The 27,692-nt window shown below is 45.8% G+C and overlaps 2 protein-coding genes and 1 long non-coding RNA gene across 19 annotated transcripts in view, besides 4 other annotated features; 2 read left to right on the forward strand and 1 right to left on the reverse strand.

Moving 5' to 3' along the window:
* LOC105371059 (uncharacterized) overlaps positions 1-17,997 on the forward strand; it is a 34,555-nt gene extending 16,558 nt beyond the window's left edge. The window contains exons 2-4 of the long non-coding RNA XR_007064949.1: positions 14,701-14,935; positions 15,531-17,854; positions 17,959-17,997. This is a non-coding gene — a long non-coding RNA (uncharacterized LOC105371059). The remainder of the gene's footprint in view (positions 1-14,700; positions 14,936-15,530; positions 17,855-17,958) is intronic.
* On the reverse strand, positions 413-19,332 carry ZSCAN32 (zinc finger and SCAN domain containing 32). 13 transcript variants are annotated; one of them, XM_017023371.3, is made up of 7 exons: positions 19,273-19,332; positions 15,520-15,975; positions 11,977-12,142; positions 8,751-8,845; positions 8,338-8,461; positions 2,787-3,269; positions 413-2,039 (listed from the first exon to the last, which is right to left on the reverse strand). In XM_017023371.3, the coding sequence occupies exons 2-7, from the start codon at positions 15,883-15,885 to the stop codon at positions 1,180-1,182; spliced, it is 2,094 nt and encodes a 697-aa protein (XP_016878860.1). In that variant the 5' UTR covers positions 15,886-15,975; positions 19,273-19,332; the 3' UTR covers positions 413-1,179. The 13 variants fall into 13 exon arrangements, with proteins under 13 accessions (XP_016878860.1, NP_001271456.1, NP_001311269.1 ...); NM_001284527.2 differs by having other exon boundaries at positions 15,520-16,072; NM_001324340.2 differs by having other exon boundaries at positions 8,338-8,511; positions 15,520-16,072.
* Positions 18,970-19,119: a silencer, noted in NCBI's record as "silent region_7132". NCBI's record gives its function as "represses an Ori minimal core promoter by ATAC-STARR-seq in GM12878 lymphoblastoid cells {active_cell/tissue: GM12878}" and the evidence as "EXISTENCE:reporter gene assay evidence [ECO:0000049][PMID:35858748]".
* Positions 18,970-19,592: a biological region, named in NCBI's record as "H3K27ac hESC enhancer GRCh37_chr16:3450765-3451264".
* Positions 19,093-19,592: an enhancer, noted in NCBI's record as "H3K27ac hESC enhancer chr16:3450765-3451264 (GRCh37/hg19 assembly coordinates)". NCBI's record gives its function as "activates a minimal SCP1, AML or CMV promoter by ChIP-STARR-seq in naive and primed H9 embryonic stem cells {active_cell/tissue: H9 hESC(naive and primed)}" and the evidence as "EXISTENCE:reporter gene assay evidence [ECO:0000049][PMID:30033119]".
* Positions 19,543-27,692, forward strand: ZNF174 (zinc finger protein 174). 5 transcript variants are annotated; one of them, NM_001347868.2, is made up of 4 exons: positions 19,543-19,598; positions 20,061-20,734; positions 22,754-22,976; positions 26,649-27,692. In NM_001347868.2, exons 2-4 carry the CDS (start codon positions 20,333-20,335, stop codon positions 27,245-27,247), a joined length of 1,224 nt encoding a protein of 407 aa, NP_001334797.1. In that variant the 5' UTR covers positions 19,543-19,598; positions 20,061-20,332; the 3' UTR covers positions 27,248-27,692. The 5 variants fall into 5 exon arrangements, with proteins under 5 accessions (NP_001334797.1, NP_003441.1, NP_001334799.1 ...); NM_003450.3 differs by having other exon boundaries at positions 19,543-20,734; NM_001347870.2 differs by lacking the exon at positions 26,649-27,692 and having other exon boundaries at positions 22,754-24,369.
* Positions 19,670-19,889: a silencer, noted in NCBI's record as "silent region_7133". NCBI's record gives its function as "represses an Ori minimal core promoter by ATAC-STARR-seq in GM12878 lymphoblastoid cells {active_cell/tissue: GM12878}" and the evidence as "EXISTENCE:reporter gene assay evidence [ECO:0000049][PMID:35858748]".

The following is a 27,692-nucleotide window of genomic DNA, read 5'->3' on the forward strand; positions in this document are numbered from 1 at the left end:
AACAACCATAGACAAATGTACCTATCTTCTACCACTTTTTATCCATGGCAATTTCATAAAAGTTTAACTATCTGTGACTCATCACAGATGAATTTTAAGTTTAGTTCCTAGTGTTTCTCATATCCATCCTTCCTTTCACCTACCATTCTCATCTACTAAACTCTTCAGGAGTCAGAATCTCTTGATGAACCTTGTTTTTCCCTTGTTTCTGTGATCTTCCCTCTCATGATGGCACAAACCCTTCCCAATCCAATTAATTCCCTCTTCCCCATTTCCTACCCCTATTCCTTCTCTGCATGTCCTACTGCCCTGAAGCAGGCTCTACACTTACATACATCATTTTCAGGACCCTGCAGGCTTCTGCACGAGTATAGTTTCTGATGGAGAAAATTACAACCAAAGGCCAAGGAAGTGGAGGGAGAAACAACTTTATTTTCATCAGAAATTAGTAATGTTTATAAATTTGTTTATAGTAGTTTGTAAATTATTATCAGAAATAGTAATGTCTATAAACCACTTACTTTAAGAGACAATCAGGAACTATGATGAGGGCAATAATAAAAGGAGAAATCTTACAAAAAATTAACCTGGATGTTGTGCTTGCTCTAAGGTTAAGTCACTTAGGGAAACAGATTCAGTATTATCCAATGGCTTAACCATCCTTCCTTCTTTCTGTTTGCTTTTTGGTGGTGGCTGGGTTACAAAGAGCAGTGTCTTCTGCCCTGAAGGTAGCAGTATTACGGTGGGTGCCTAGAGGTCAATTATTGGTTTAGAAGAGATTCAGGCCCTTAACTTTTACATGTGCTTTCCAGGAAAGGAGACACTTTCTTTCTCAGCCCTGTGTGAGGACTATGTTAGCCCAGAAAGTGTTCTTGGACCACTGGGTGCCCATTCTCAGTGCTAGGAACAGGAAGACCCTGGTTTCCTGGTAGAATTTATGGATCCTACAGCTTTCTCTCCATCAAACTTTAAGTCACAGTAAGATAGGACTCTGGAGTCACAGGCACAGCCAGGAGAGGTCAGCGTCCTTATGCTGACTCCTGGTCCTAGACATGGGTCTTAAGATCCAGTAGTCAGTAGGTCTGTTGCAAAGTCAGGGACTGGCTAGATCTCTCCACAGCAGAAGAAAGCTCATACATGCTGACCTGAGGAACTTAATCTGACAGTTTACCGACACACTCATAACGCATCTCTTCCTTCCTGTGATGAGAGTACTGCTTTCATGTGTACTGTCTGATGACGGGTGAGGGCAGAGTTCTTAGTGAAGCCTCTCTCACAGTGAGAACACCTGTAAGGCTTTTCACCAGTGTGGGTTTTTCGGTGGGCACTGAAGTGGGAGCTATTGTTGAAGATTTTCCCACACACTGCACACTTGTATGGGCTCTCCCCAGTGTGGATGCGCCGGTGAGCACTGAACTGGGAACTGTTGTTGAATCTCTTTCCACAGACAATGCACTGGTAAGGCTTTTCCCCGGTATGGGTCCTCTGGTGGACAATGAGGCTGGAACTCTGGTTGAAGCTTTTCCCACATTGCCCACACTGATAGGGCCTCTCCCCTGTGTGAGTTCGTAGGTGGGCAGTGAGGTTGGAGCGCTCACTAAAGCCCTTCCCGCACTCACTGCACTTGTGAGGCTTCTCGCCTGTGTGGATTCTTTGATGCCGAACAAGATAAGAACTTCGGCTAAAGGTTTTCCCACATTCAGGACATTGAGATACTTTTTCCAGTTTGAGCGCTGGCTTGTGGGGAGAGTGCACACTCTGAGAGCAGTTTTTCCCACAGAGGATATGTGTACAGGCTTTGTCCCTGGCACAAAAACTCTGGTGACTCATCTTCTCCTGGGATGGGGTTTTCTCCTCACTCTCCCCTGGAGAATTTCTACATTGCCTTCTTGATGTTGGCTCACTCTCCAAGCCTTTTTGTAGCTCAGAGTGCCAATAAACTCCTCTGGACTTTCTCTGTAAAGCCTTGTTTATTTCTACTTCCTCTGAATCATCCCATTTTAGATTTTCTTTTTTAATCTCGTTCTTGAACTCAAAACCTGAAAAAAAAAAACCCCACAGAAATACAATGGACTATAGAGAAGGAAAACAATGGAATGCAAAGTTATAACTATACTACGTAGAAGAAATATCTAATTGAAATTCTTCATGTGATTAAGTCTCCTGCTAATTAATAGCTTTTTATTTTCTCATTGTAATATTTTTGAGCTCCAAATTATTACAGGAAAATTATGCCCTAAACTCCAACTTTTCTCCTATCTTTTTTCGGATGTTCTGACACAATGACAAACTGAGGCAAGACATTAAGCACTATATCATCTGCCAGTCTGTTTATAGGTGTACCCTCAATTCTTGAATGTTCTAACTTCTAGCAGCAGAATAACAAAAGGCAACCCTGGGCTTGGCCAGCTCAAACAGGAAGAAAGCAAGGTGCTAAGTACCCAGCCAGCATAGGCTCAGGCTGTGAAAGGCAAGGCCATGCTAGAGAAAAAGGGAGAAGATGGACCTGGTCTGGAGGCCTAACCAGCAGTCTGACAATGCATAGTGAAACTCCATGGGAAAAGATGACATGAACTTAGTTGAAAGAGGTTGGCAAATGCAAAATCAGGGCTGTAAAATGCAAGGGGAATAACCTTTAACTCCATGAAAACCAAAACTTGGATAGGGTCACACATCAAGATGATGATGATGCCAGGATCAGTGACAGCTCCTACTCAACTGCTAGGCTAATGGCCTCTAAAGTGGACTTTGCCATCCTTTGACCATCAGAGCCAAGGGAGTCTTACCAAGTCTGTTTGGGAACAGCACTGGCAGGTCTAGTTTCCTGACTTCCTGGCCAGGATTCCTGAAGTCCTTTTCATCCCTGTCTGCACCATCCACAGTGCCATCTTCTACCTCCGTGGGTTCCCCATTCTGGTGATTCAGCTCTCCAGCCTCAATATCACTTCCTTCTTGGCCAGGAACAGCATCGCTTGCCATAGGAGGTGCAGAGGCCCAGGAGCCTGAAAGAGCATTCATTTCCTCATAAAAGATACAAGGCTCAGGCACACGGCCTCTCCTCACTTTGCGGTAACTCAACTGTAGGCTTTTGAACTTGGTGCGACACTGTTCTGGGGTCCGCAGAAAACCCTGCTCCCAGAGTCCTTCCGCCATGGCCCTGTAGATCTGGCTGTTCTGCTGACAGGTCTGGAGTTTTCCATAAAATTGAGAACTACTAAGAATAGCCAGGAGCGTCTTGGTCTCTTCATAGCCCCAGGGCACACCTGTTGCTGGGGGACAAAGAATAGGTCAATTAGATCTGTCAGTTAGATCATGGAGGACTGTACATACTGCAGTGTGCAGTTTTGGCAGCTTAAAAAGTTACATCCTAGGCTGGATGCGGTGGCTCACACCTGTAATCCCAGCACTTTGGGAGGCCAAGGCGGGCAGATCATGAGGTCAAGAGATCGAGACCATCCTGGCCAACATGGTGAAACCCCGTCTCTACTAAAAATACAACAAAAAATAGCTGGGTGTGGTGCCGTGTGCCTGTAGTCCCAGCTACTCAGGAGGCTGAGGAAGAAGAATCACTTGAACCCAGGAGGCAGAGGTTGCAGTGAGCTGAGATTGTGCCACTGCACTCCAGCCTGATGACAGAGAGAGAATGCCATGCTCATGGGTAGGAAAAATCAATATCGTGAAAATGGCCATACTGCTCAAGGTAATTTATAGATTCAATGCCATCCCCATCAAGCTACCAATGACTTTCTTCACAGAATTGGAAAAAACTACTTTAAAGTTTATATGGAACCAAAAAAGAGCCCGCATTGCCAAGTCAATCCTAAGCCAAAAGAACAAAGCTGGAGGCATCACGCTACCTGACTTCAAACTATACTACAAGGCTACAGTAACCAAAACAGCATGGTACTGGTACAAAAACAGAGAAATAGACCAATGGAACAGCACAGAGCCCTCAGAAATAATGCCGCATATCTACAACCATCTGATCTTTGACAAACCTGACAAAAACAAGCAATGGGGAAAGGATTCCCTATTTAATAAATGGTGCTGGGAAACCTGGCTAGCCATATGTAGAAAGCTGAAACTGGATCCCTTCCTTACACCTTATACAAAAATTAATTCAAGAAGGATTAAAGACTTAAACGTTAGACCTAAAACCATAAAAACCCTAGAAGAAAACCTAGGCATTACCATTCAGGACATAGGCATGGGCAAGGACTTCATGTCTAAAACACCAAAAGCAATGGCAACCAAAGCCAAAATTGACAAATGGGATCTAATTAAACCAAAGAGCTTCTGCACAGCAAAAGAAACTACCATCAGAGTGAACAGGCAACCTACAGAATGGGAGAAAATTTTTGCAATCTACTCATCTGACAAAGGGCTAATATCCAGAATCTACAATGAACTCTAACAAATTTACAAGAAAAAAACAACCCCATCAAAAAGTGGGCAAAGGATATGAACAGACACTTCTCAAAAGAAGACATTTATGCAGCCAAAAGACACATGAAAAAATGCTCATCATCACTGGCCATCAGAGAAATGCAAATCAAAACTACAATGAGATACCATCTCACACCAGTTAGAATGGCAATCATTAAAAAGTCAGGAAACAACAGGTGCTGGAGAGGATGTGGAGAAATAGGAACACTTTTACACTGTTGGTGGGACTGTAAACTAGTTCAACCATTGTGGAAGTCAGTGTCGCGATTCCTCAGGGATCTAGAACCAGAAATACCATTTGACCCAGCAATCCCATTACTAGGTGTATACCCAAAGGATTATAAATCATGCTGCTATAAAGACACATGCACACGTATGTTTATTGCGGCACTATTCACAACAGCAAAGACTTGGAACCAAGCCAAATGTCCAACAATGATAGACTGGATTAAGAAAATGTGGCATGTATACACCATGGAATACTATGCAACCATAAAAAATGATGAGTTCATGTCCTTTGTAGGGACATGGATGAAGCTGGAAACCATCATTCTCAGCAAACTATTGCGAGGACAAAAAACCAAATACCACATGTTGTCACTCATAGGTTGTAACTGAACAGTGAGAACACATGGACACAGGTAGGGGAACATCACACACGGAGGCCTGTTGTGGGGTGGGGAGAGAGGGGAGGGATAGCATTTGGAGATATACCTAATGTTAAATGACGAGTTCATGGGTGCAGCACACCAACATGGCACATGTATACATATGTAACTAACCTGCACTTTGTGCACATGTACCTTAAAGCTTAAAGTATAAAAAAAAAAAAAAAAAAAGTTACATCCTGGTTTCTCAAACCGTGCCACAACTGGCTATTGTTATTTCTAGGAAGAAATCTCACTGTGGCTTTTTGTCTAAAACATGAAAACTTTTAGTATAATACAAAAGACATTCCCTCCACTGATAATGACTTATAGGGTTATTTACTAAAGCTGCCTATTTAATTTCTCGTTAATTATCCTCAATCCTACTCATTCCTCCTGGAGAGGTGGCTGGCAATAAGGGTAGTGGCTTGCCTGCCTTGACAGTTGTGGGACTTCCTGAGGGTGGCCACATAAGAGGACACAGTGAACAGGTGATACTCAAGGAAAGCAAAGATTCAGGGGACAGAGGAGCTGGTTGTAACGATATATCTGCCTGTTCCCTCCCTGATACAGGAATACCTCCTCAGCCAGCCCATCTCTATCTGTTTATATCTCCTGTCATCCTTGTAGATACAGGAAACTAAATGACAGCAGTTAACACACCAAGGTAAGAATAAGTAGTAAACATCTGAGAAGAGCAGTTCAGGATGGCTGGCTACTAAATAACCCTCACCACACACACCTGCTGCCCATCTGGGCCAGTTCATGAGGACCGATTTGACTAGAGCTGTCCCAGCAAGTGCATTCCAACATCTGGTCATGATGCTCTGAAGCGCACCAGCCTCTTCTTGTCACCCCCTCTTCTCCACACTGAGCCACCATCACCTCATGCCTGGATCACTGCCATAGCCTATCTGGTCTTCTTGCTTCCACTCTGGACCTTCTACGGTCTACTTTCAACCCAACAGCCAGAGGGAGTCCCCTCCTTTGTTATTCAATTTAACTAACACTGAGTGCCTACAATGCCAGTTTCTGAGAAATATAAATATTACATGAACCCTGCCTTCAAGGAGGTCACAGTCCTATAGAAGTCTCTCCAGCAAAAAGAGACACAAATAAATGTTTACGTAGAGTTAAGTGCCAAATAAAGTGACATACTCAAAGTGGTCCTTTTAAAACTATTACTCCTCTGCCCAGAACCGCACAAGGCTCCCCCATTTCACTCAGAAGAAAAAAGTCCTTCATGTAGGGCCTCATGATCCCATATTAGTACTTCTCAAATTATCTATGAAGGACAGGAGTCTTGTGCTTATTTCTTTTGTAAAATACAATAAAAATGCAACCGAATAGTGCAGCAGTGTCAAATTGTTATAAAAGTTTCTAATTGCTCCCTCTCAGTCTCAGCTAGCAGCACTCATTTGATCTGGCTTTCTGAGCTCGTTTTCTCATTACTCATGGGTGTACTCTGTGCCAGTGAACTGGCATGCCCACCTCGCTCCAGCCCAAGTCATTGCGTCTGTCTTACACTCTTCCTCCATGTAGGATATGGCTGCATAGCTCATCCCTCCTCCTTCAGCAAGTCTTTTCAAATGTCATTTTCTCAGTGAGGGCGACCCTGAGGACCCAAACTGAAAACTGCAAACCAACCTCTGCCCTAGCACTCCCATCACGCTGCTCTGCTGCTGCTTCTCTCCCATTGCGCTTATCGCCCTCTAACATCTTCTGCCGCTTACTGATTATGCTATGGTCTGTCTCTTCCCACAGGGCAGGAATCTTTATCTGTTTGTTCACTGTTGTATCCCTAACGACCTAGAACTAGGTCTGAGATACTGTAGGCACTAAATTAATATTTGTGGAAAGAATGACTTGTCCTCTCACATTCTGTCTCAACTCTTACCTCTAATTTTAAAGGATCCTCAATGGTTGACAAGAAACCAAAAGTGTGTGGGGAATACAAGCCCTCATTCAATAAGCCTAATGTTGTAGCAGTTAAAATTACAGGTACCATTACATGAAATATTCAGAATAGCTCAATCCACAGAGACAGAATGAAGACTGGTGTCTGCAAAGGGCTTGCAGGGGAAGGACGGGGAGAAACTGCTGGATGGTTGTGGGACCTTACTTTGGAGAGATGGAAAGGTTCTGGAACTGGACGTGGTGGTAATTATACAACACTCTGAAAGTGCTAGAGGCCAAAGAATTGTTCACTTTACAGTGGTTAATTTTATGTCATGTGAATTTCACCTAATAAGTTAAAAATCACAAGTACAAAAATATTTATATCTCACCTTATTGTATTATCCATATATACTTAGTAATACAAATCTCAATACAGAGCTCAAAAAGACACTATACTCTCCTGCAACTGGACAGAGATGAGGTGCAGAAGCCTGAAGCAGCAGCAAGAAATGGCACATGATGAAGCCAGGAAACTGGGAGTTCCTGGCAAAGGAGGGGAGGGATGGCAGGGGCAGAGCAGGGAAAAACCACACACCACTGGGGAGGGCAACATTGTAGAGTGAGGCGGGGCACTGTCACAGGGCCTGTGTTCACAGCCTTGTGTAGTCCCTCCCACCCTGGGCTTAGCCAGGAGTACCCTGCATGTGAAGCAGCAGAGGAGAAATCTAGGCCCAGTGAGCTGCAGTGTCTGTCTCTGAATCTGCATGGTCAGGGAGGCTGCTCTGAGGAGGAGGCATTTGGCCCAGATGGGACAGAACTGATTTGAGAAAGGCAAGAGAGCGGTCTGCTTGGCAGAACCTTCCCCAAGTGTCCTGAGATGCTGGGAAAGGGCCTGGTTCCTCCCGGAAGGCCTGGGCATAGTAGACTGTCCTGGTTGGGTGGTTTTATTTGTTAATCTCCTCTGCCACTGGGGAAACTCGGGAGCGACTACTGCTACCTGTGTGCATGAGCGCACATTCAGCATGAACACATCTGTGCTCCTGGTGGCCACCTGTCTGGCTCCGGCTCTGGACTACTTGTTCTGACTCTGTCTCACTAACATTTTGCTTCTCCACCGCCTCACCCTTCACCTCCCATGTTCTTGACTGCCGGTCACACATGCTGCCCCTTTCTTTTGATCTCTGCCTGTGTCTCTCTGGCCTGCTCTGGTTCCCCATTTACTTCCTCCTTTCCCTCCACCCAACAGTCTCCCCACTCCCTCTGTCTCCCTCCCTCTCAAGTCCTTTCAGCCTCTCTGAACAACTGAACACATCCACCTTGACCTGGAGGGAAGATGGATCCTTACCCAGCGAGACGTGACTGTCCTTCCTCTGGGTGGCACCCCTGTAGAGGGCCCTTTGTGCAGGGCCTGGGCACATCCATTCTTGCTGACAGAGGGATACAGCTCTGTTGTCACGCATGGCTGGTCCCTGTAACAACACTGGAGCTGCTGCTACCGATAAAATAGCACCACTCTAGCCTGGGGTGGGGGCAGAGACAGGATCACAGTTGTCAGATCAGGGGCAAGGCAAAGGCAGGGGAGGTCAGCTCCCAGTGGGACAGGTTCTGAGCCATGTGATGATGTCAGAGTGGACAGAATCAAAATAACCCGAGAAGCCCCATGGACCACACAGAATCTTTCTCATGTCTCTGGAAAGGAGGAGGGTTTTGGGGTGAGAGTGGGTACTCAAGAGACAGAAGGCATCAACCACAGCTCACCTGGGACCCAGCTGTCCAGACCACAGCACCTGTCTCCTGGTCGTGGAGACCTGTGTTTTGAGGCAGGTTCCTGGGAGCCTGAGGAGCAAGCCAGGCTGGGGGAAAAAACAGCCGCTATTAGAGGGCGGCTTCCACACAACAGCACAGAGCAGAAGCTCTCAAAGTGGGCTCCTGGGCCAGCCGCATCAGCAGCCCCTGGCAACCCATCAGAAATACAAATTCTGGGGCCCCACCTCAGATCTTCTGAATCGGAAATTCTGGAGGTGGGGCCTAGGACTCTGTTTTATCACTCTCCCACCTCCGAATGAGTCTGAGGCAAACTCAAGTTTGAGAACCACTGCCAGCGCTCACGGCCTCTGTGAGTTGAGAAGTTCCTTTCATGAGATTCCTCTTGGCATAAGAGCTTTAATTTTTTTTTCATTTTAAAGAAAAATATACATGTCAGGGAAAAAAAGAGAATCGTAGTGGGCAAACAAAAATCTCTCCATAGCCCTGCCACCCAAAGATAACCAGAGTACTCTTTAAAATACCACAGTAACAGAAACCCTTCATATTTTTCACACCAAGATAATACATTTTTTCTCAAGTCTCCAACTTCAAGAATTGTACAAATATGACTGTGACATCGCTTAAAAATACAGGAAAATTAAAAAAATTGTACAAATAAAATGAATCATGTCTATGACTTATTAATGGAACTTCAGTGGCAACTCAGAGGTATGTGACCCTTCGGGAGGTGACAACACTCCAGATCTGTGAGTGGCCCATGGGCCTGGGAAGAGCGGGAGCCTAGCCTGGAAGGCAGCAAGTCCTGCTTCTCTTTACTTACAGCCCCCTGCTGTCCCAAAGCCTTGGAAATCACACACAGAGAACACAGGTGTTCCCAAGGATTAAAAGGAAATAAATGCTAAGTGGCAAAGTTTATAAAGATGTTGACAAGAGTATTAACTTTGCTTAAAAAAAAACTAAAATCAGCCGGGCGCGGTGGCTCACGCCTGTAATCCCAGCACTTTGGGAGGCCGAGGCAGGCAGATCACCTGAGGTCAGGAGTTCGAGACCAGCCTGCCCAACATGGCGAAACCCTGTCTCTACTAAAAATACAAAAAATTAGCCGGGCGTGGTGGCAGGCGCCTGTAATCCCAGCTACTCAGGACGCTGAGGCAAGAGAATCACTTGAACCCAGGAGGCAGAGGTTGCAGTGAGCCAACATCATGCCGCTACACTCCAGCCTGGGCGACAAGAGTGAAACTCCATCTCAAAAAAAAAAAAAAAAAACAAAATACTAAAATCTCTTAGACAATTTTCCAGTTTATCAACACAGGTTTGCCAACTTAAACATCATCAAGACACACTGTTTTTCAGGCTGGATGTGGTGGCACATGCCTGTATTCCCAGCACTTTGGGAGGCTGAGGCAGGAGGACTGCTTGAACCTAGCAGTTTGAGGCAGCAGTGAACTATGATGCCACCACTGCACTCCAGCCTGGGCAACAGAGCAAGACCCTGTCTCTTAAAAAAACTTACCTAGCAACCTGTAATGGCAGCTTCCAATTAAACAGAAAAGGCAGCAAGTATCTAGCCAAATTACTTTATGGAAAAAGACTTATAAAAATATAGACCCTTGGAATATCCATGCAATGGAATATTCAGCCATCAAAAGGAACAAAGTACTGATACATGCTCAAAACATGAAAAGTGAAAGAAGGCAGACACAAAACGTCACATAATACATGTGATTCAACTTATATGAAATGTCCACAACAGGTAAATCCATGGAAACAGAATGGGGAGCAACTGTTTAATGGGTACAGGGTTTCCTTTTCGGGAGGATAAAAATGTTTTGAAACTAGACAGAGGTGATGGCTGCATAACACTGTGAATGTACTAAGCATAACTGAATTGTTCATTGAAATGGTTAATTTTATGTTATGTGACCTTCACCTCAATTAAAACAATTTTTTTTTTTTTTTTTTGGTAGAGACAGGATCTTGTTATGTTGCCCAGGTTGGTCTCGACTCCTAGGCTCAAGCTATCCTCCCGCTTCAGCCTCCCAAAGTGCTGAGGTTACAGGCATAAGCCATTGTACCCAGCCAAGATAATTTTTTTAGTTTAAAAAGTTTTCTAAGGCCAGGCGTGGTGGCTCATGCCTGTAATCCCAGCACTTTGGGAGGCCGAGGCAGGTGGATCACGAGGTCAGGAGATCGAGACCATCCTGGCTAACACGATGAAACGCCGTCTCTACTAAAAATTCAAAAAATTAGCCGGGCATGGTGGCGGGTGCTTTAGTCCCAGCTACTTGGGAGGCTGAGGCAGGAGAATGGCGTGAACCTGGGAGGCAGAGCTTGCAGTAAGCCAAGATCGCATTACTGCACTCCAGCCTGGGCGACAGAGCAAGACTCCGTCTCAAAAAACAAAGAAACAAAAAAAGTTTTCTAAAAAAATTAAGACAAGTAAAAACAAAAAATAGAGCTCTGGAAGAAAAGCAAAAATAATAAAAATGTATTCTGGAAAAGATTAAGTTGGATGGGGAAGGGGATTTAATGTCTTCAAGTATATGAAAAACTGCTGTGCAGAAGGTGAAGGTAACCATGTTCACCTTTAATGACACCTGATTCTTTAGTAACAGAATTGTAATAAAAAAGAATTATGCTAACACATAAAGAATCTCTGTTCCTACTTTAAGTGCTATTACCCTCAACTGAAATTTGTAATCTTGCTTTTGGATATGGAGAGAGATATATATATATTTCTATATATATATTTCTATATTTATATATATATTTATATTTATATATATATATATATATAAATTTATATATTTTATATATATATATATTTTTTGTTTTCTTTGAGACAGCCCAGGCTGGAATACAGTGGTGCGATCTTGGCTGACTGCAACCTTCACCTCCTGGGTTCAAGCAGTTCTCCTGACTCAGCCTCCTGAGTAGCTGGGATTACCATGCCCAGCTAATTTTTTGTATTTTTAGTAGAAACGGGGTTTCACGATGTTAGCAAGACTGGTCTCGAACTCCTGACCTCAGGTGATCCGCCTGTCTGGTCTTCCAAGGTGCTGGGATTACAGGCGTGAGCCAACACGCCCTGCCGGTTTTTGGATGTATTTCAAAGGCATTTAGTCTGGAACCCTTGGGTGGACTCAGTTCAGACCTTTGTTTCCAGTAAATGATTGTTCCTCACCTGCCTCAGGTGAGGACAGAGGCTTCTGCTTACCTTCTGACTGTTCCCCTGGTCTTTGGTGTGAGCTCTGTGATCCCTTAAAAGTCGGTTCCTCTGGCTGAACCTCCTGTTTCCATTGGGATCTCAGTGATTCTCTGGTTGCTCCCAAAGGGGCCATCTCCTTCATGAGTACTTTCAAGTCCTTCTCAGAATCTAGAACCTGAGAACAGACCCCATTATCTATCACTACAAATTCCTGCCTAAGCTGGACTTTACAACTCCTAAGAGTGGCATTAAAAAATGTGTAACATAAGGAAGCAGAAGAGAAAAATCTAGGAGCCACTGTATTGCTGCTGTAATAAAATAAAAATTAATAGAATTAGGTATTTGAGGGGCAGTAGCTTACGCCTGTAATCCCAGCACTTTGGGAGGCCGAGGCAGGTGGATCACGTGAGGTCAGGAGTTCAAGGCCAGCCTGGCAACAAGGTGAAAGAAACCCCGTCTCTACTAAAAATACAAACATTAGCTGGGTGTAGTGGTGTGAATCTGTAACCCCAGCTATTTGGGAGGCTGAGGCAGGAGAATCACTTGAACCCAGGAGGCGGAGGTTGCAGTGATCCAAGATCACGCCACTGCACTCCAGCGTGGACAACACAGCAAGACTCTGTCTCAAAAACAAAAAAAAACTCTTTGAAGTGGTTAAGATTATTTATATGACAGCACCTAGCATAGAGCCTGACACACCAGAACTGTTAAAAACTGAAATATATTTGTCAGAAGAGAGAATGTCAGCTTTCACTTTAGCAAACCCCCATGACTTCAGCACTAGGCCATTTCCTCTGCCCCCCAAATCCAGTATCAGTTCTGTCTTCAAAAGAGACCTCGCATTGGTCCTCTCTCTTCACCTCATGGCTCCATCAGGGTCCAGGACACTATCTGCTGTCTGCATCCTCTCTACTGCTGGACCCTCCAATCCATTCTCTCTACATGGAACCCAGTGTGATCTTTTTAAAATCTAGAGTCCTGTCCCTCCGTAGTAACAGCACTCTTCAGTGGCTTCCCACTGCACACAGAATAAAATCCAGACTCCTCTTTGCAGCCTAAAAGGCCCAGCATCATTCTGCCCGGCCTCCTCCCTTTCTCTCACAGCACTCTTCCCCAGTCTCTGAGCTCCAGCCACAAGCCCTCCCTTCTTCCTCTCAAACCCGCCCAGTCTTTTCCCACCTTAGGCTCTTGGTATGTGCTGTGCCCTCTGTCTGGAGTACTCTCCTCCCAGCTCTTGGGACAACTGGTTCCTTCTCCTCCTTCAGTGTCACCTCAGAGAAGTCCTGCCTCACAGCCTATCTCCCAACACTCCAGTTATCACATCACTCTGCTCATTTCCTTCCAAGCACTCATCTGAAACGATCTTTATGGTTTACTTTTGATTTATGATTGTCTGTTTCCCCCATGGACCGCGGGCTCCAGCAGGCCAGGGGCCGTGCCTGTCCTGTTCACTGTAAAATCCTCAATATCAACGGTCACTGAAAATCAACTTTTGTCTTTCAGAGCCATCTTCATTCTTTAAGTCCCATGCTTATAACAAACACCCTTAAAGGGAATGAAGAGAGGTACTGAGAGGCAAGTGGGGTCCTGAGAAATTATATCAACCTCTATTACTACTACCCACCTCCACTTCTTGCTCTCTCCTTCACTTTCATGATAGGTAATAAGGTTTGGCTGTGTCCCCACCCAAATCTCATCTTCAGTTGTAGTTCCCATAATCCCCACGTGTCATGGGAAGGACCCGGTGGACGTAATTGAATCATGGGGGCAGTTTCCTCCATGCTACTCTAGTGATAGTAAGTTCTCATGGCTTCCCCCTTCACTCAGTTCTCATTCTTCTCTTTCCTGCTGCCATGTGAAGGAGGACATGTTTGCTTCCCCTTCCGCCATGACTGTAAGTTTCCTGAGGCCTCCACAGCCATGCAGAACTGTGAGTCAATTAAACCTCTTCTCTTTATAAATTATCCAGTCTCGGGTATGTCCTTATAGCAGTGTGAGAACGGACTAATAAATTAGGTTTCAAATAGGTGTTTAACCTATACACTCCTGCACTGTTTTCTTTTATATTAAGAGTGTGGGCCGGGCACAATGGTTCACACCTGTATTCCCAACACTTTGGGAGGCTGAGGTGGGTGGACTGCCTGAGCTCAGAAGGTCAAGACCAGCCTAAGCAACATGGCAAAACCTCACCTGTAATAAAAAACAAAAATTAGTTGGGCATGGTGGTGTGCACCTGTAGTCCCAGCTACTTGGGGGGCTGAGGCAAGAGGATCGCTTGAACCCAGGAGGCTGAGACTGCAGTGAGCCGCATTCATGCCACTGCACTCCAACCTAAGTGACAGACCAAGACCCTTTCAAAAAATAAATAAATAAAATAAACATAAGTGTGATTCCGACATGGTTAAGGATAAGAAGAGGAGAGACCATCAAACAGAGTGATGGAAGGGGAACTGGGCTAGGATGACTCTTGGCATACTGGGATTCCCACTCTATTTATAATAGTTCAGTTCTCCAAGTTCTACCTTCATACAAGTGCTACTGCACCTCTCCATTCAATCTTACTTATGAATAAGAGTCCCAATCCCACAGATTTCAGACTAATTTCCTGAACTTCTTCCCTGATGCATCACCATCAAGCTGCTCTTCCCCTCTCTAAATTAAGTCAAAAGTACTAACTCTTCAATCCTACCAAATTTCATCTATATCCCCCTTCACCCATTCCTCTTCCCACAGCCCGTGCACATCCCTACCTCCTCACTGGGAAACACAAGTATATCTGCTGCCTAGGGCCTTCCCATTCCAGCCATGCAGACTCTGGCACCCAGCAAGCTGCTTCCTGCTCTGATCACAGACCCACTCAGGCTGACCAACGTTCCTCTGACCTGTGCCCTCCATTACTCTAGGCCTCTCCCAGACTTACCCAATTTCAGTTGCCTTCCTCCTACCAACTCTTCCACAACCGAAGCTGGTATGTTACTTTTCCTCTTCCTGTGCCTTTCCCACCTCCCTGCTCCAAGAAAATATAAGCTGGTTACACCAATCAGATCTCAGACCTAGTCCTGACCGTAAGAGGATATTTTATGAATCCATCAGTGTCCCAAACTGAACACTTAATCCCGGCATCAAGAACTAGAGCAAGGCCTGGCTCTAATATAATTTTGTTGAGTGTACAACACATGTCACTCTGCCCTCAAAGAAGCTCCTAGCATGAAACTAGATTTTCATTCACTAGCATCTCTAGTTTTCCTCCATCCCCTGAGTGAAGGAGAGTTGTCCTTTCCCTGGCCTTGTTTTCGAGAATTTTTCTGAGTGTTTTTACCACCTTAATTAGGGACTTCAAATATTATTAAATATATGAATGTCTAGCAGCTGTATCCACAGATGAGAAATTCTTCCCGTATTATAAGGGCATAGGACCAATCCAAGACAGCCAAGACCTTCTGTGGGCAGCAGAGGGCTACTGTGTGTTTCTCAACCAAGCACCTCTCCAGTAACTGGATTCCCCGACAACTTCATAACCAAAACCACAAAGTTCCGACTTCCTTTTCTCACCTGTTGTCCAGGAGCTCTCTGTACATCCTCAACCAGAGCCACAGCTTCCTCGCCGTTTTCTGGATGCTGCTCCCTCACCCAGGTCTGGATCTCCTCTGGCAAGATAGTCAGAAACTGCTCCAAAACCAGCAGCTCCAGGATTTCCTCTTTTGAGTGGGTCTTCGGCCTCAGCCACTGACAACAGAGTTCCCAGAGTTTGCTAAAAGCTTCATGTGGGCCAGTTACCTCCTGGTAGCAAAACTGCCTGAAGCGCTGACGGGAGGCCTCGGAGTCAGGGCTGTTACCCTGGAGGGCTGATTTCTGGCCCTGTGTGGGATCCTTGTTTGAGGATGGGTGTGCCTCGGTACTCTTCACTGCAGCCATCATTTGCTTCAACGAACTGGCTTACTCTGGTTGCCACTTCTACCCTGGAGATCAGAGTCCATCTTTCCCACATCACTGGGAAGCCATGTTCTCCTGCAAGGAATGTCTTTCTGTAATCCGTGGGACATGAGAGTGTCAGACATGTGTAGAGACTCACAGCGGAAAAAAAGGGCTCAACTTTGAAGGATGTCTGAAGAGGATGGAAAAAGACAATATAAACCTATCAAACATTCCTTCACTCTGGTTCTTGTGATTTACTTCCTATCCCTTTCCTTTACTCCCTCCACAAATCTACACCAAGGATCCAAAACACTAGAAATAGATCTAGACCATCCTGGCTAACTGCCTTTGCAAAAACCATTAACAGTGAGAAGATTATGACACTAAAAGAGATAGGATCTAACCAACTCCATCTTGCTTTTAACCTCCAAACTGCCGTTGGTCATTCCTGGGTGTGGGCCAAGCTAGCTTTGGGAGAAATTTAGTTTATAGTTTGAATGATAATAACCCTTCCCAAAACTAAACTGCCTTTGTAAAACTAATTAAAGACAACTAGGTTAGGAGGATGAGAGGGGCCTGAATTCTGCTAAGATGCAGGCATAATGAAATGATTATCCAGAGGTCACAAGATTTGCAACTTCCCCAATTAAATAACATCACGATTGTAGAACCTAAGATTGGCCTTTTGAGATGCCTTTTCAGGCCTCTGCTTTCTGACAACCAGATGGCTCCACCTAGACCAGGGACTCCTCTGTGGCTCCCACCCAAAATCGCACTCAGCACACAAAAACCGTTTTCCACAGCCCTATGAATGCATCCCCAACCAGTCAGCATTCCCTGTTCCCTACCCAACTGCGTGCCAAAGCCCTAGCCTCTGAATTTCCGGGGAGGCTGACTTGAGTAATAAAACTTTAGTCTCCCATTTAGCCGGTTCTGTGCGTATTAAACTCTTTCTCTATTGCAGTTCCCCTGTCTTGACAAACTGGCTTTATCTAGGCAGTGGGCAAGATGAACCCACTGGGCAGTTACAGTACCAAAAAATATAGTCTTCTCCCAGCCAAGATTCTGTGTCTGCTGACGAATTACTCAAACTGTTCCTGACGATATAGTTCACCTGTTCCTTCCCTTCTTCCCTCACACACCTAGGTCTTTTTCCTGTCCTTCCCTATCCTCAAGAAGCCTGAATTCATGTTCCCAATTGCTACCCTCTCCTCGGGGGAGAACTGGTGTGTGTGTGCTTCTTGATTAACTTCTTCATTACTATTACTCCACACACACACAACGTGGATAAGTGACTGTTCGGGTTTGCTGTATGTTTTTATTTTCCAGCATTCCTTTCCCACTTCTAGTAGCAGCATCTTCTTCCTTTGTGAAAAAGTCCCCCTCGACCAGGCGTGGTGGCTCACGCTTGCAATCCCAGCACTTTGAGAGGCCAAGGCGGGCGGATCACGTGGTCAGGAGATCTAGACCATCCTGGCTAACAAGATGAAACTCCGTCTCTACTAAAAATACAAAAAAATTAGCTGGGCATGGTGGCACGCACCTGTAGTCGCAGCTACTCGGGAGGCTGAGGCAGGAGAATCGCTTGAACCCGGGAGGCGGAGGTTGCAGTGAGCTGTGATCACGCCATTGCACTCCAGCCTGGGCAACAAGAGCGAGACTGTCTCAAAAAAAGAAAAAGTCCCTCTCATTGGTTCTGGTGGGGATATTAATTACAATACCCACTTCCCCAGAAGTGGGCATATGACACACAGCTAGGCCTATCAAAATTCTTTTCTCAGATTTTACATGAGAGGTAGGGAAAGCTCTTCATTTTCTAGGAATTGGTAAATTGGGCAAATGTAAGATCAGAGTTGTCTCCAACTATGTCCCACTCTCTACTCCACTCTTCCATCACAGGAGTGAGCCTGTTTACAAGAGGACAATATACTCAAGTCTTGACAACATGTTTGGATCTCCAAGGCCAGTTTATGTAAGGCAATATTTTTTTAAGAGTTAATTTTAAAAATAGTTTTATATAATTTAAAATTAATAAATAACTTTTAAAAATAATTTTATTTGTTTTTTTATCTTTAGAGATGGAGTCTCACTCTGTTGCCCAGGCTGGTCTCAAACTCCTGAACTCAAGCAATCCTCCCACCTCAACCTCCCAAAGTGTTAGGATTACAAGTATAAGCCACCATGCCCGACCTTAAAAATAATTTTAAATAGAAGCTAACTTTTGTATTTTTTGTAGAGGTGGAGTTTCACTATGTTGCCCAGGCTGGTCTCAAACTCCTGTGCTCAAGTGATCCTCCCACCTTGGCCTCCCAAAGTGCTGGGATTACAGGTGTGAGCCACTGCACCCGCGAAGGCAGTCTTTTTTAATGAGTTTGTGTTGGTTTTTATCTACTTAAAACACAGATTAAAGCAGATCGTAATTTACATTTTCTCCAGGGGCTGATACACCCTCACCATGTGGTATTAAAATGGATCCAGCATGCACAACAAGATGAATATACTCAGGACTACTGAGCTGTACACTTAAAAATGGTTATGATGGTAAATGTTTTTTAAAAATTAAAGAAATTTTTTTATATTTTAAAAATGGATTTGGGTTCCCTTTTCTCAAGGAACTTGAACTGCCTTCACTTAAATTCTCTTTACATTTCAGTGCTTCTAGAGATAGAGAAATCAAGGGCATTATTATTGTTAGCACTGCTTTCTAGCCAAAAAGAAACTGAGAGCGATGAAGTATCTTGCCTAAAGCATCACACAGCACAGCTCCTAGGCAGCAAGGCCAGGACTAGAACCAGCACCCCTTGCCTTCATTATGTTCATCCTGTGCCTTACCTGGCTGAAGAAGAATTTAATAAAAGCTCTTCTAACTTCATGCAGAAGGCGGAACCTGCACCCTTCTTGACCCCTTTTGACCCCTTACCTCCCACTCATCGTTAAATTTTAAAATGCTGTTCTCTGAAAATTTTACTTCACTCTAGCGATGGCCCAAACACTCGGAAAAAAATGTAGCATGAGGATGGGGAGCCAGGTTGATAGGTTTTTCACTTAGTTAACTATTTATTGAGTACTCAGAACGCACTCGGTGCCAGGGCTAGGCACTGTGGATGAGTAGGGAGTGGGCGAGACAGGGACGAGATGAGCAGGGTCAAGGCCAGGGGGTCCCGGGGCGCCGGCGCTCAGGCTCGGGGTGATCCGCACGGTGGGAGCGGGGCACGGTGATCGCGGCGCGTCTGGGGACGCCCGGCCTGAGGGAGGCTGCCTGTCCCAAGGAGACGCCCATCGGGGCCGGACCCGAACGCCTCGGAGAAGACTCCCAGCGGGGAGGGGCTCCTCGGCCGTCGCAGGGCCCAGCGGCTAATCCCGCCGGCCGCAAGGAAGCGGAGAACTCACCGGACACCAGCACTCGCGACTCCACAAACTCCCTCAGCCTCCGGGCCGGAAGTCAGCGGCGCGATTCGCTCCGCCCATTACGCACGCCCCTGCGCAGGCCCGCAAGCCGAATTGCCGGACTGCAGCTCCCGGGATGCACTGCGACGGTATTGACAGGCGCAGCAACCAATAGACGGTAGAGAATGCCCTTGGCAGGAGGCGGGCCCTGTCAGTAGTTGTCCTCAGCAGCTAGTGGGCGTCTCCGCAGCGAGTGGCATCGGCCCCGCCCCCAGCCCGTGCTCGCCGGTGTCGGGTCCTAAGTCCCTCGGTCTTGGGTTCCCGGAGAGGTGAGTCGGCTGCAGGTGGGTGCGGGGCGCCGGGCTGTTCGGGGTACCGGTGTCGCAGTCGCCAGTCCGAGCTCACACCGGGCGTGGAGTTCAGCTGCGCATCGGGTTGCGGCAGCTTCGCCAGGCCTGGGGCTGGCTGGGCCGCGGGGCCGCCCTGGAGGCCGGAGCCACTGGGCCTGCGGCGCCTCGGCAGCGAGCAGCCGCTTTGCTCGCGTGCAGGAGGCTGTTCGCTACCTCACACCCCCGGCTGGCGCTGTGGCCTCGCTTAGCTCTACCGTTTAGCACCCGGCGACATGCACCCGGTCGGTTTCCGCCAGGATGCGGGAGAGTTGGGGCAAGCTACCTGCGACAGCTTGAACTTTTCCTAGGGATTCCGCTCCACCCGCCGGTTAGAGCGTATTGCTCATTAAATCCGAGACCTGTGTGCTTGCTACTGAAATAAAAGAAGTATTTTTTCCCCAGAGTCCTTTTAGGACGTTATGACTTTTCTCCTTTGCAAGACTGCAAAAAACTGACAAGAAGACAAAACTCTTCCCACTCCCAGGGACCGCGTTGTCTTGAGTTTGGCTAGTAAAGGCTAGCAAGTGAGGCTTTGTCTCTGCATCCCGTTCCCCCTAACATCCTCAGAGAACCTTCGTTTCTAGAATCTTTCTAGTATTCAGAGACTTCTCCAGGGTCATGATCCCAAAGGCTTAACCCGTTTACAAGGAGAGAGTTGTCTCCTGACGCCCAAAATGGCAGCTAAAATGGAGATAACTTTAAGCTCCAACACTGAAGCTTCCTCCAAGCAAGAGAGACACATAATAGCCAAACTAGAAGAGAAACGGGGCCCTCCTCTGCAAAAAAACTGCCCAGATCCTGAGCTCTGCCGCCAGAGCTTCAGACGCTTTTGTTATCAAGAGGTGTCTGGACCCCAAGAGGCTCTCTCCCAGCTCCGACAGCTCTGCCGTCAGTGGTTGCAACCCGAGCTGCACACCAAGGAGCAGATTTTGGAGCTTCTGGTGATGGAGCAGTTCCTGACCATCCTGCCCCCGGAGATCCAGGCTCGGGTCAGGCATCGATGTCCAATGAGCAGCAAGGAGATTGTGACCCTCGTGGAAGATTTTCACAGAGCATCCAAGAAACCAAAGCAGTGGGTAAGGAGGGTCCTCTCCCATCATCCTGGGGATTTCTTTTTCTTTTCTTTTTTTTTTTTTTTCTTTTTTTGAGACGGAATCTTGCTCTTTCGCCCAGGCCCGAGTGCAGTGGCGCTATCTCGGCTCACTGCAAGCTCCGCCTCCCGGGTTCACGCCATTCTCCTGCCTCAGCCTCCCGAGTAGCTGGGACTACAGGCGCCCGCCACCGCGCCCGGCTAATTTTTTGTATTTTTAGTAGAGACAGGGTTTCACCGTGTTAGCCAGGATGGTCTCGATCTCCTGACCTCGTGATCCGCCCGCCTCGGCCTCCCAAAGTGCTGGGACTACAGGTGTGAGCCACCGTGCCCGGCCGATTTCTTTTTCATCTGGGTAATGTTTGGTATCTGGATCTCTCCCTATTTAAGTCTCAGAAGTGGACTGGATGGCTTCAGAAGTTGCTTCCAGCCTCTATCTGGGAACCTATCCTGAGTTATTAACAGGTTTTTAGAAAATCCAACTACTGATACCCAGTGAGGCAACAGAGGACCAAGGTTCTTACCATTCCTTTATGCACCTTGTGTCACCAGAAGTAATTGTAAGGTTCTTAAATCCCTTCTGTCAGCTCTTCCCCCACCCAACTTAGTTTTCCTACTAGCAGAATTCTTAGCAGATAGGGTCACCCTGTTGGGTAGCAGTTGGACTTTGGGGAACTTCATTTCATTGGAAGTTCTAGCTTATTGTCTTTCCAGTGTTTAGCTTATAGTCTTTTTTTTTTTTTTTTTTTTTTTTTTTTTTTTTTTTTGAGATGGAGTCTTGCTGTGTTTCCCAAGCTGGAGTGCAGTGGTGCCATTTCAGCCCACTGCAACCTCTGCACCCCAGGTTCAAGCGATTCTCAGGTCTCAGCCTCCTGAGTAGCTGGGTTTACAGGTGCCTGCCACCACGCCCAGCTAATTTTTGTACTTTTTAGTAGAGAGGGGGTTTCACTATGTTGGCCAGGCTAGTCTCGAACTCCTGACCTCAAGTGATCCTCCCGCCTTGGCCTCTCAAAGTGCTGGGATTACAGGCGTGAGCCACCACACCTGGCCTAGCTTTTTGTCTTTGATTTTTTTTTTTTTTTTTGAGACTGGGTCTCACTGTGTTGCTGAGGCTGGAGGGCAGTGGCACGATCTCAGCTCGCTGCAACCTCCATGTCCAGCTCAAGTGTTCCTCACACCTCAGCCTCTCAAGTAGCTGGGACTGCAGGTACATGCCACCATGCGTGGCTAATTTTTGTACTTTTGTAGAGACAGGGTTTCTCCACATTGCCCAGGCTGGTCTTGAACTCTTCTTGGGCCCAGGCGATCCGCCCGTCTTGACCTCCCAAAGTGCTGGGATTACAGGAGTGAGCCACACAATGCCTGACTAGCTTATTGTCTTTGGATCAGGAAGTTACAGTTCAACTGGCCAGCGTTGCCATTGCTTGCCACTCCCCGCCCCGAAGTCAGACCCCAGTCAGGACCTAGGCAAGAAGCAAACGGCAGGTACTTCGGAAAATAGAACTTGTTAGGGAATGAAGGTGGGGTGGTCCTCTTAGACCCCTACTACTACTGGGATCTCCTTACCAGGAAAGCCTTTGGCAGAACAATGTATTAGGTAAGAAGGACTTTTAACAGCCCCTCACCATACTGCTTCCTGTTCCTACAGGGCCTATTTCCAGCAGAAGTAGGTGGGGGGTGGTGTGTAGAGTAGGCATCTGATGGCCCAGTGTTGTGACTGACCCTGATATTTGTGCCAGCAACTACCCTGATGACTTTGACTCTGGCCCTTGAGAAAGGCCCAAGCTTTAGGGGAAGCCACTCGGCTGATTTGTAGCATCCTCATTCCTGTCATTCTTCACGTTCTCCCCTTTACTTCCTTTGAGGGTTTCAGTGGTTTCTATGAAAGTTGACCTCTAGATGGTTATCAGCAATTCCCAAGGTAAACGGGTCATTATACAACAGTGAGAGATCAAGCTTCCCTCAGTCCTGATGGATGGAATTAATGGATGGGGCTTGTTCCTAGGTGGCCGTTTGTATGCAGGGGCAAAAGGTGCTCTTGGAGAAAACTGGATCTCAGCTTGGAGAACAGGAACTGCCAGACTTTCAACCGCAGACTCCTAGGAGAGATCTCAGGGAGAGCTCTCCAGCAGAGCCTTCCCAGGCAGGAGCTTATGACCGGCTGAGCCCCCATCATTGGGAGAAATCCCCACTCCTCCAAGAACCAACCCCCAAATTGGCTGGGACAGGTAAACACTCTGCCTTTTCTCTCCCTCTCATCAGCCCTTTATCTCCATCAATGTATCTCATGGTTCTGCAAAGGCATAGACCACATGTGTGTGTTTTTTTAAATGTTATATATAATAGTAGATGATTATTCACTAAACAAATTTCACTAATTAGGATGGTGGTGATACTACAAGTAAGTATGTTTTTATCGTTTTCTGTTAATGAAAATTTAAGAATCCAGTGCATGACAGGGTTGTACCTACTTTTCTGTCCGTTTCAGAACTTCTTATAGAAAAGACAGATCCAAATATGGCCACAGATGAACTTCCATGCAAGCTATGGCTGAGTTTCATTGCTTAAAATGCTCCTCTGTTTAGAGGGGCCTGGTAGAAATAAAAACCCACCCTATATCTTATATCTTTGTCCTCCTCTGTGATGTTGCTTGTACTTTAGATCCTCAAATCTATTTCCCTTTCTCTGGTGTGATACTTGTGTAACTGCTGGCCTTGTTCTACACAGTCCTGTGATCTCTAAGCCTGAATGACAGTGACATTTTGGCCAAGCCTGGTGATGTGAATACAAGATACAGTGAGCACGTTAGGGAGGAGGGTTACAAGACGACAAAAATCCTCAGTTTCTTAATATTTGCTACATCCAATGAGGTACTTCGTGTTTTAGTCTGTTCAGGCTGCTAATATAAAATGCTAGAGACTAGGTAGTTTATAAACAACAGGAGTTTATTTCTCACAGTTCTAGAGGCTAGGAAGTCTGAGTTCAAGGTGCCAGCATGGTTGGGTTCCAGTGAGGCCCCTCTTCCAGGTCACAGACTGCCTACTTCTCAGTCCTCATGTGGCAGAAGGGGAAGACAGGCTCCCGTGGGGCTCTTTCATGAAGGCACTAATCCCATTCCAGTGAGGGCAGCACCCTCATGACCTAATCACCTCCCAAAGGCCCCATGTCCTAACACTATTACCTTGGGAGTTAGAATTTCATATGAATTTGGAGGAACATAAACATTTAGCCCCTGGCAACCACAGTCTACTTTTTGTCTCTAGAATTGCTTATTCTGAACATTTTATACAAATGGAATCACACAGGCCGGGCACAGTGGCTCACGCCTGTAATCCCAGCACTTTGGGAGGCCAAGGCAGGCGGATCACTTAGGCTCAGGAGTTCGAGACCAGCCTGGGCAACATGGCGAAATCCTGTCTCTACAAAAAATGCAAAAATTAGCGGGGCATGGTGCTGCACACCTGTAATCCCAGCTGCTTGGGGGAGCTGAGGCAGGAGGATCACTTCAACCTGGGAGGTCGAGGCTGCAGTGAACTGAGATCGTGCCACTGCACTCTAGCCTATGTGACAAAGTAAGACCCTGTCTCAAAAATAAATAAATAAATAAATTGAATCACACAATATGTGGTCTTTTGTGTGTGGCTTCTTTCACTGAGCATGTTTTCAAGTTTTATCCATGCTGTAGCATCAATCAGTGCTTCATTCCTTTTCTGTGGCTGAATAATAGGCATTGTACGGATATATTACATGTTGGTTTTCTGTTCATGTTGGTTCATCTGTTCATAGATTTTTGGGTTGTTTCTACTTTTTGGTTATTATGAAGAATGCTGCTATAAATGTGTGTTTTTGTGTAGACATGTTTTCATTTCTCTTGAGTATATACCTAGGAGTGGAATTACCATATGCTAGGTCATGTGGTAATTCCATGTTTAACTTATGAGGAACTACCAGACTGTTTTCCAAAGCAGCTACACCATTTTACATCCCCACCAATACTGTGTGAGGATTCCGATTTCTCCACATTCTTGCTAGCACTTGTTATTGTCTTATACCCATCCTATTCGGTGAGAAATTTTGATTTGAGGTTTTGATTTACATTTCCCTAGTGACTAATGGTGTTGAACATCTTTTCATGTGCTTATTATCCAGTTACATATCTTGTGTGGAAAAATATCTGTTCAGATCCTTTGGTCATTTTTAAATTAGGTTATTTGTCTTTATTTTTTATAAGAGTCCTTTATGTATTCTAGATACTAGACCCTTATGTGTAATTTGCAAATCTTTTCTCTCATTTTGTGGGTTGTCTCACTTTCTTGACAGTGTCCTTTGACGCACACGTTTTTCATTTTGCTGCAGTCTAATTTATCTATTTTTTTCTTTCTTTATGCTTTGGTGTCATATGTAAAATAGCACTGCCTAATCCAAGGGCACAAATATGTACAGCTATGGTTTCTTCAAGGAGACATAGATTTAGCTCTTACTTTCAGCTATTTGGTCCATTTTAAGTTTATTTTTTCCCCATACATAAACAAGTCAATTTTTATATAGGTTTTGAGGTAGGGGTCTGTCAATCTGATCAGGGGTCTGTCTTAATCTGATCAGGCTCTTACAACAAATTGCCTTAGACTAGGTAATTTATAAACAACAGAAATTTGTTGCTCATAGTTCCTGGATACTGGGAAGTTCAAGATCAAGGTGCCAGCAGATTTGGTGTCTGGCGAGGGCCCATTCCTCATAAATGGTGCCTGCTATGAGTCCCCACATGGTAGTCTCTTGGGTTTCTTTTATAAGGACACTAATCCCATTTATGAGGACCCCACCCTCATAACCTAATCACCTCCCAGATGCCCCACCTCCCAAGACCACTGCACTGGGGACTGTCAATATATGTGTGTCAGGGGACAGGGGGGATAAACATTCAGACCATAGCAGGGTCCAACTTCATTCTCTTGTATGTGGAAATCCAGTAGTCCTAGAATCCTTTATGAAAAAGACTATTCTTTTCCCATTGAATTGTCTTGTCAAAAAGCAATTGACCCTGATTGTATAGGCTGATTATTTACATTTGAATTTAAATGAATTAAAATTAAAAAAAAATTTAAAATTAAGTTCCTTAGTCACAGTAGTCACATTTCAAGTACCCAGTAGCCACATAGTCACATGTGGCTAGTGGCTGCCATATTGAACAACGTGCATGTGCCTGTGCATGCACGTGTGCACACACACATTTTCCACATCACAAGGGATCCTTCTCCAGATCCTGTGATTTCCCATAGGCCGTTCCAGCTCATCTCCATCCAGACTGTCAATCCTTCTGTAATTAGGATACATGGCTAAGCCCTGATTCCAGTTTCTGAACTCATATACTGTCAAATTTGTAATGAAAGAAAACATCACAGTCTCTGAACTTACCATCTTTTGAAGAGAAGGTGGTTGTCAATTAGTGTTTACTAAGTGAGGGGTATTTGTTGAAATAGCTCAGGCATTGGACTACAGCAGTAAAATTTGCAATGTTGAGATTTCACCTCTCTTCCTTCTTCATTAGATACCCAATTCTGATGGGTTTGCTTTTCCCTGTTCTTCATTTCCTAAACCTTTCCCTAAAGGGAGAAAGGAAGAAGGAGGATGGAGAACTTGGTTCCTAAATTTAATATAAATCACAGTCACCCCAGGAGCCTGCTAACTGTGCAGATTATCAGGCCCAACCCCCCGAGATTCTGACCCAGCAGCTCTGGGGGAAGGGTGAAGAGCCTGCTTGTTTAACAAGTGCTCCAGATGAGTCTAATGCAAGTTGCCAGCGGAGGGCCACCCTTTGAGAAACCTCTCAGAGTATTTCATAACTCTTGCTGAAGTTATTTCTTCCAAGTGCAGAAAATGAAGCATTTTCTTTCTAATTATAGAGGCCCCCAGAATGAGAAGTGACAACAAGGAAAATCCACAACAGGAAGGGGCTAAAGGAGCAAAGCCATGTGCAGTGTCAGCTGGCAGATCCAAAGGGAATGGTCTGCAGAATCCTGAACCAAGAGGGGCAAATATGAGTGAACCTCGGTTGTCACGGAGGCAGGTCAGCTCCCCAAATGCTCAAAAGCCATTTGCTCACTACCAGAGACATTGCAGGGTGGAATACATCAGCAGCCCCCTAAAAAGCCACCCACTGAGAGAGCTAAAGAAAAGCAAAGGAGGTAAACGGAGTCTGAGCAACCGTTTGCAACATCTTGGTCACCAGCCCACCCGCTCAGCAAAGAAACCCTACAAATGTGATGACTGTGGGAAAAGCTTCACGTGGAATTCAGAGCTGAAGAGACACAAGAGAGTCCACACAGGAGAGAGACCCTACACGTGCGGAGAGTGTGGAAACTGCTTTGGGCGGCAGTCAACCCTGAAGCTGCACCAGAGGATCCACACTGGAGAGAAGCCATACCAGTGTGGCCAGTGTGGGAAAAGCTTTCGCCAGAGCTCAAACCTTCACCAGCATCACCGACTTCACCATGGGGACTAAAAGGAGCACTCCATGCTTTAGATTCACACGGAAGGTGTTTGTGTTTCTCCTCCCCCTTACTTGCATGTAAATCACAAAAACTGTGTGACTTACAAGGAAAGCACGAGGCCCTTGAGGAATGATGATGCACATTCTGCTGTGAGGAGGCCCAGAAAAGGCCAACCAGGGCCCAACCGTGCATGATGACAGGGTGAAGAGAAGGCAGGTCTGGGCACTGGGGCAAAGAGAACTTAAGTCTCTGCAGAGAGCAAGGAGTAACTACTGAGAGAGAATCAGGACAATCCTGCAGGTGGCCCGCTTACTGTTAAATCGTCCCTCTGTTGCTTTATCCTCTAAAATATGTTAAGGGATAAATTCTATATATATAGTTATGCATTTGCTGTCATACCAGACAATTTTTTATCATGAGCACACTTCTTTAATAAAGATGAGTGATCTACCAGAA

Source organism: Homo sapiens, chromosome 16, assembly GCF_000001405.40.
Source record: "Homo sapiens chromosome 16, GRCh38.p14 Primary Assembly".
Taxonomy (NCBI): Eukaryota; Metazoa; Chordata; class Mammalia; order Primates; family Hominidae; genus Homo; species Homo sapiens.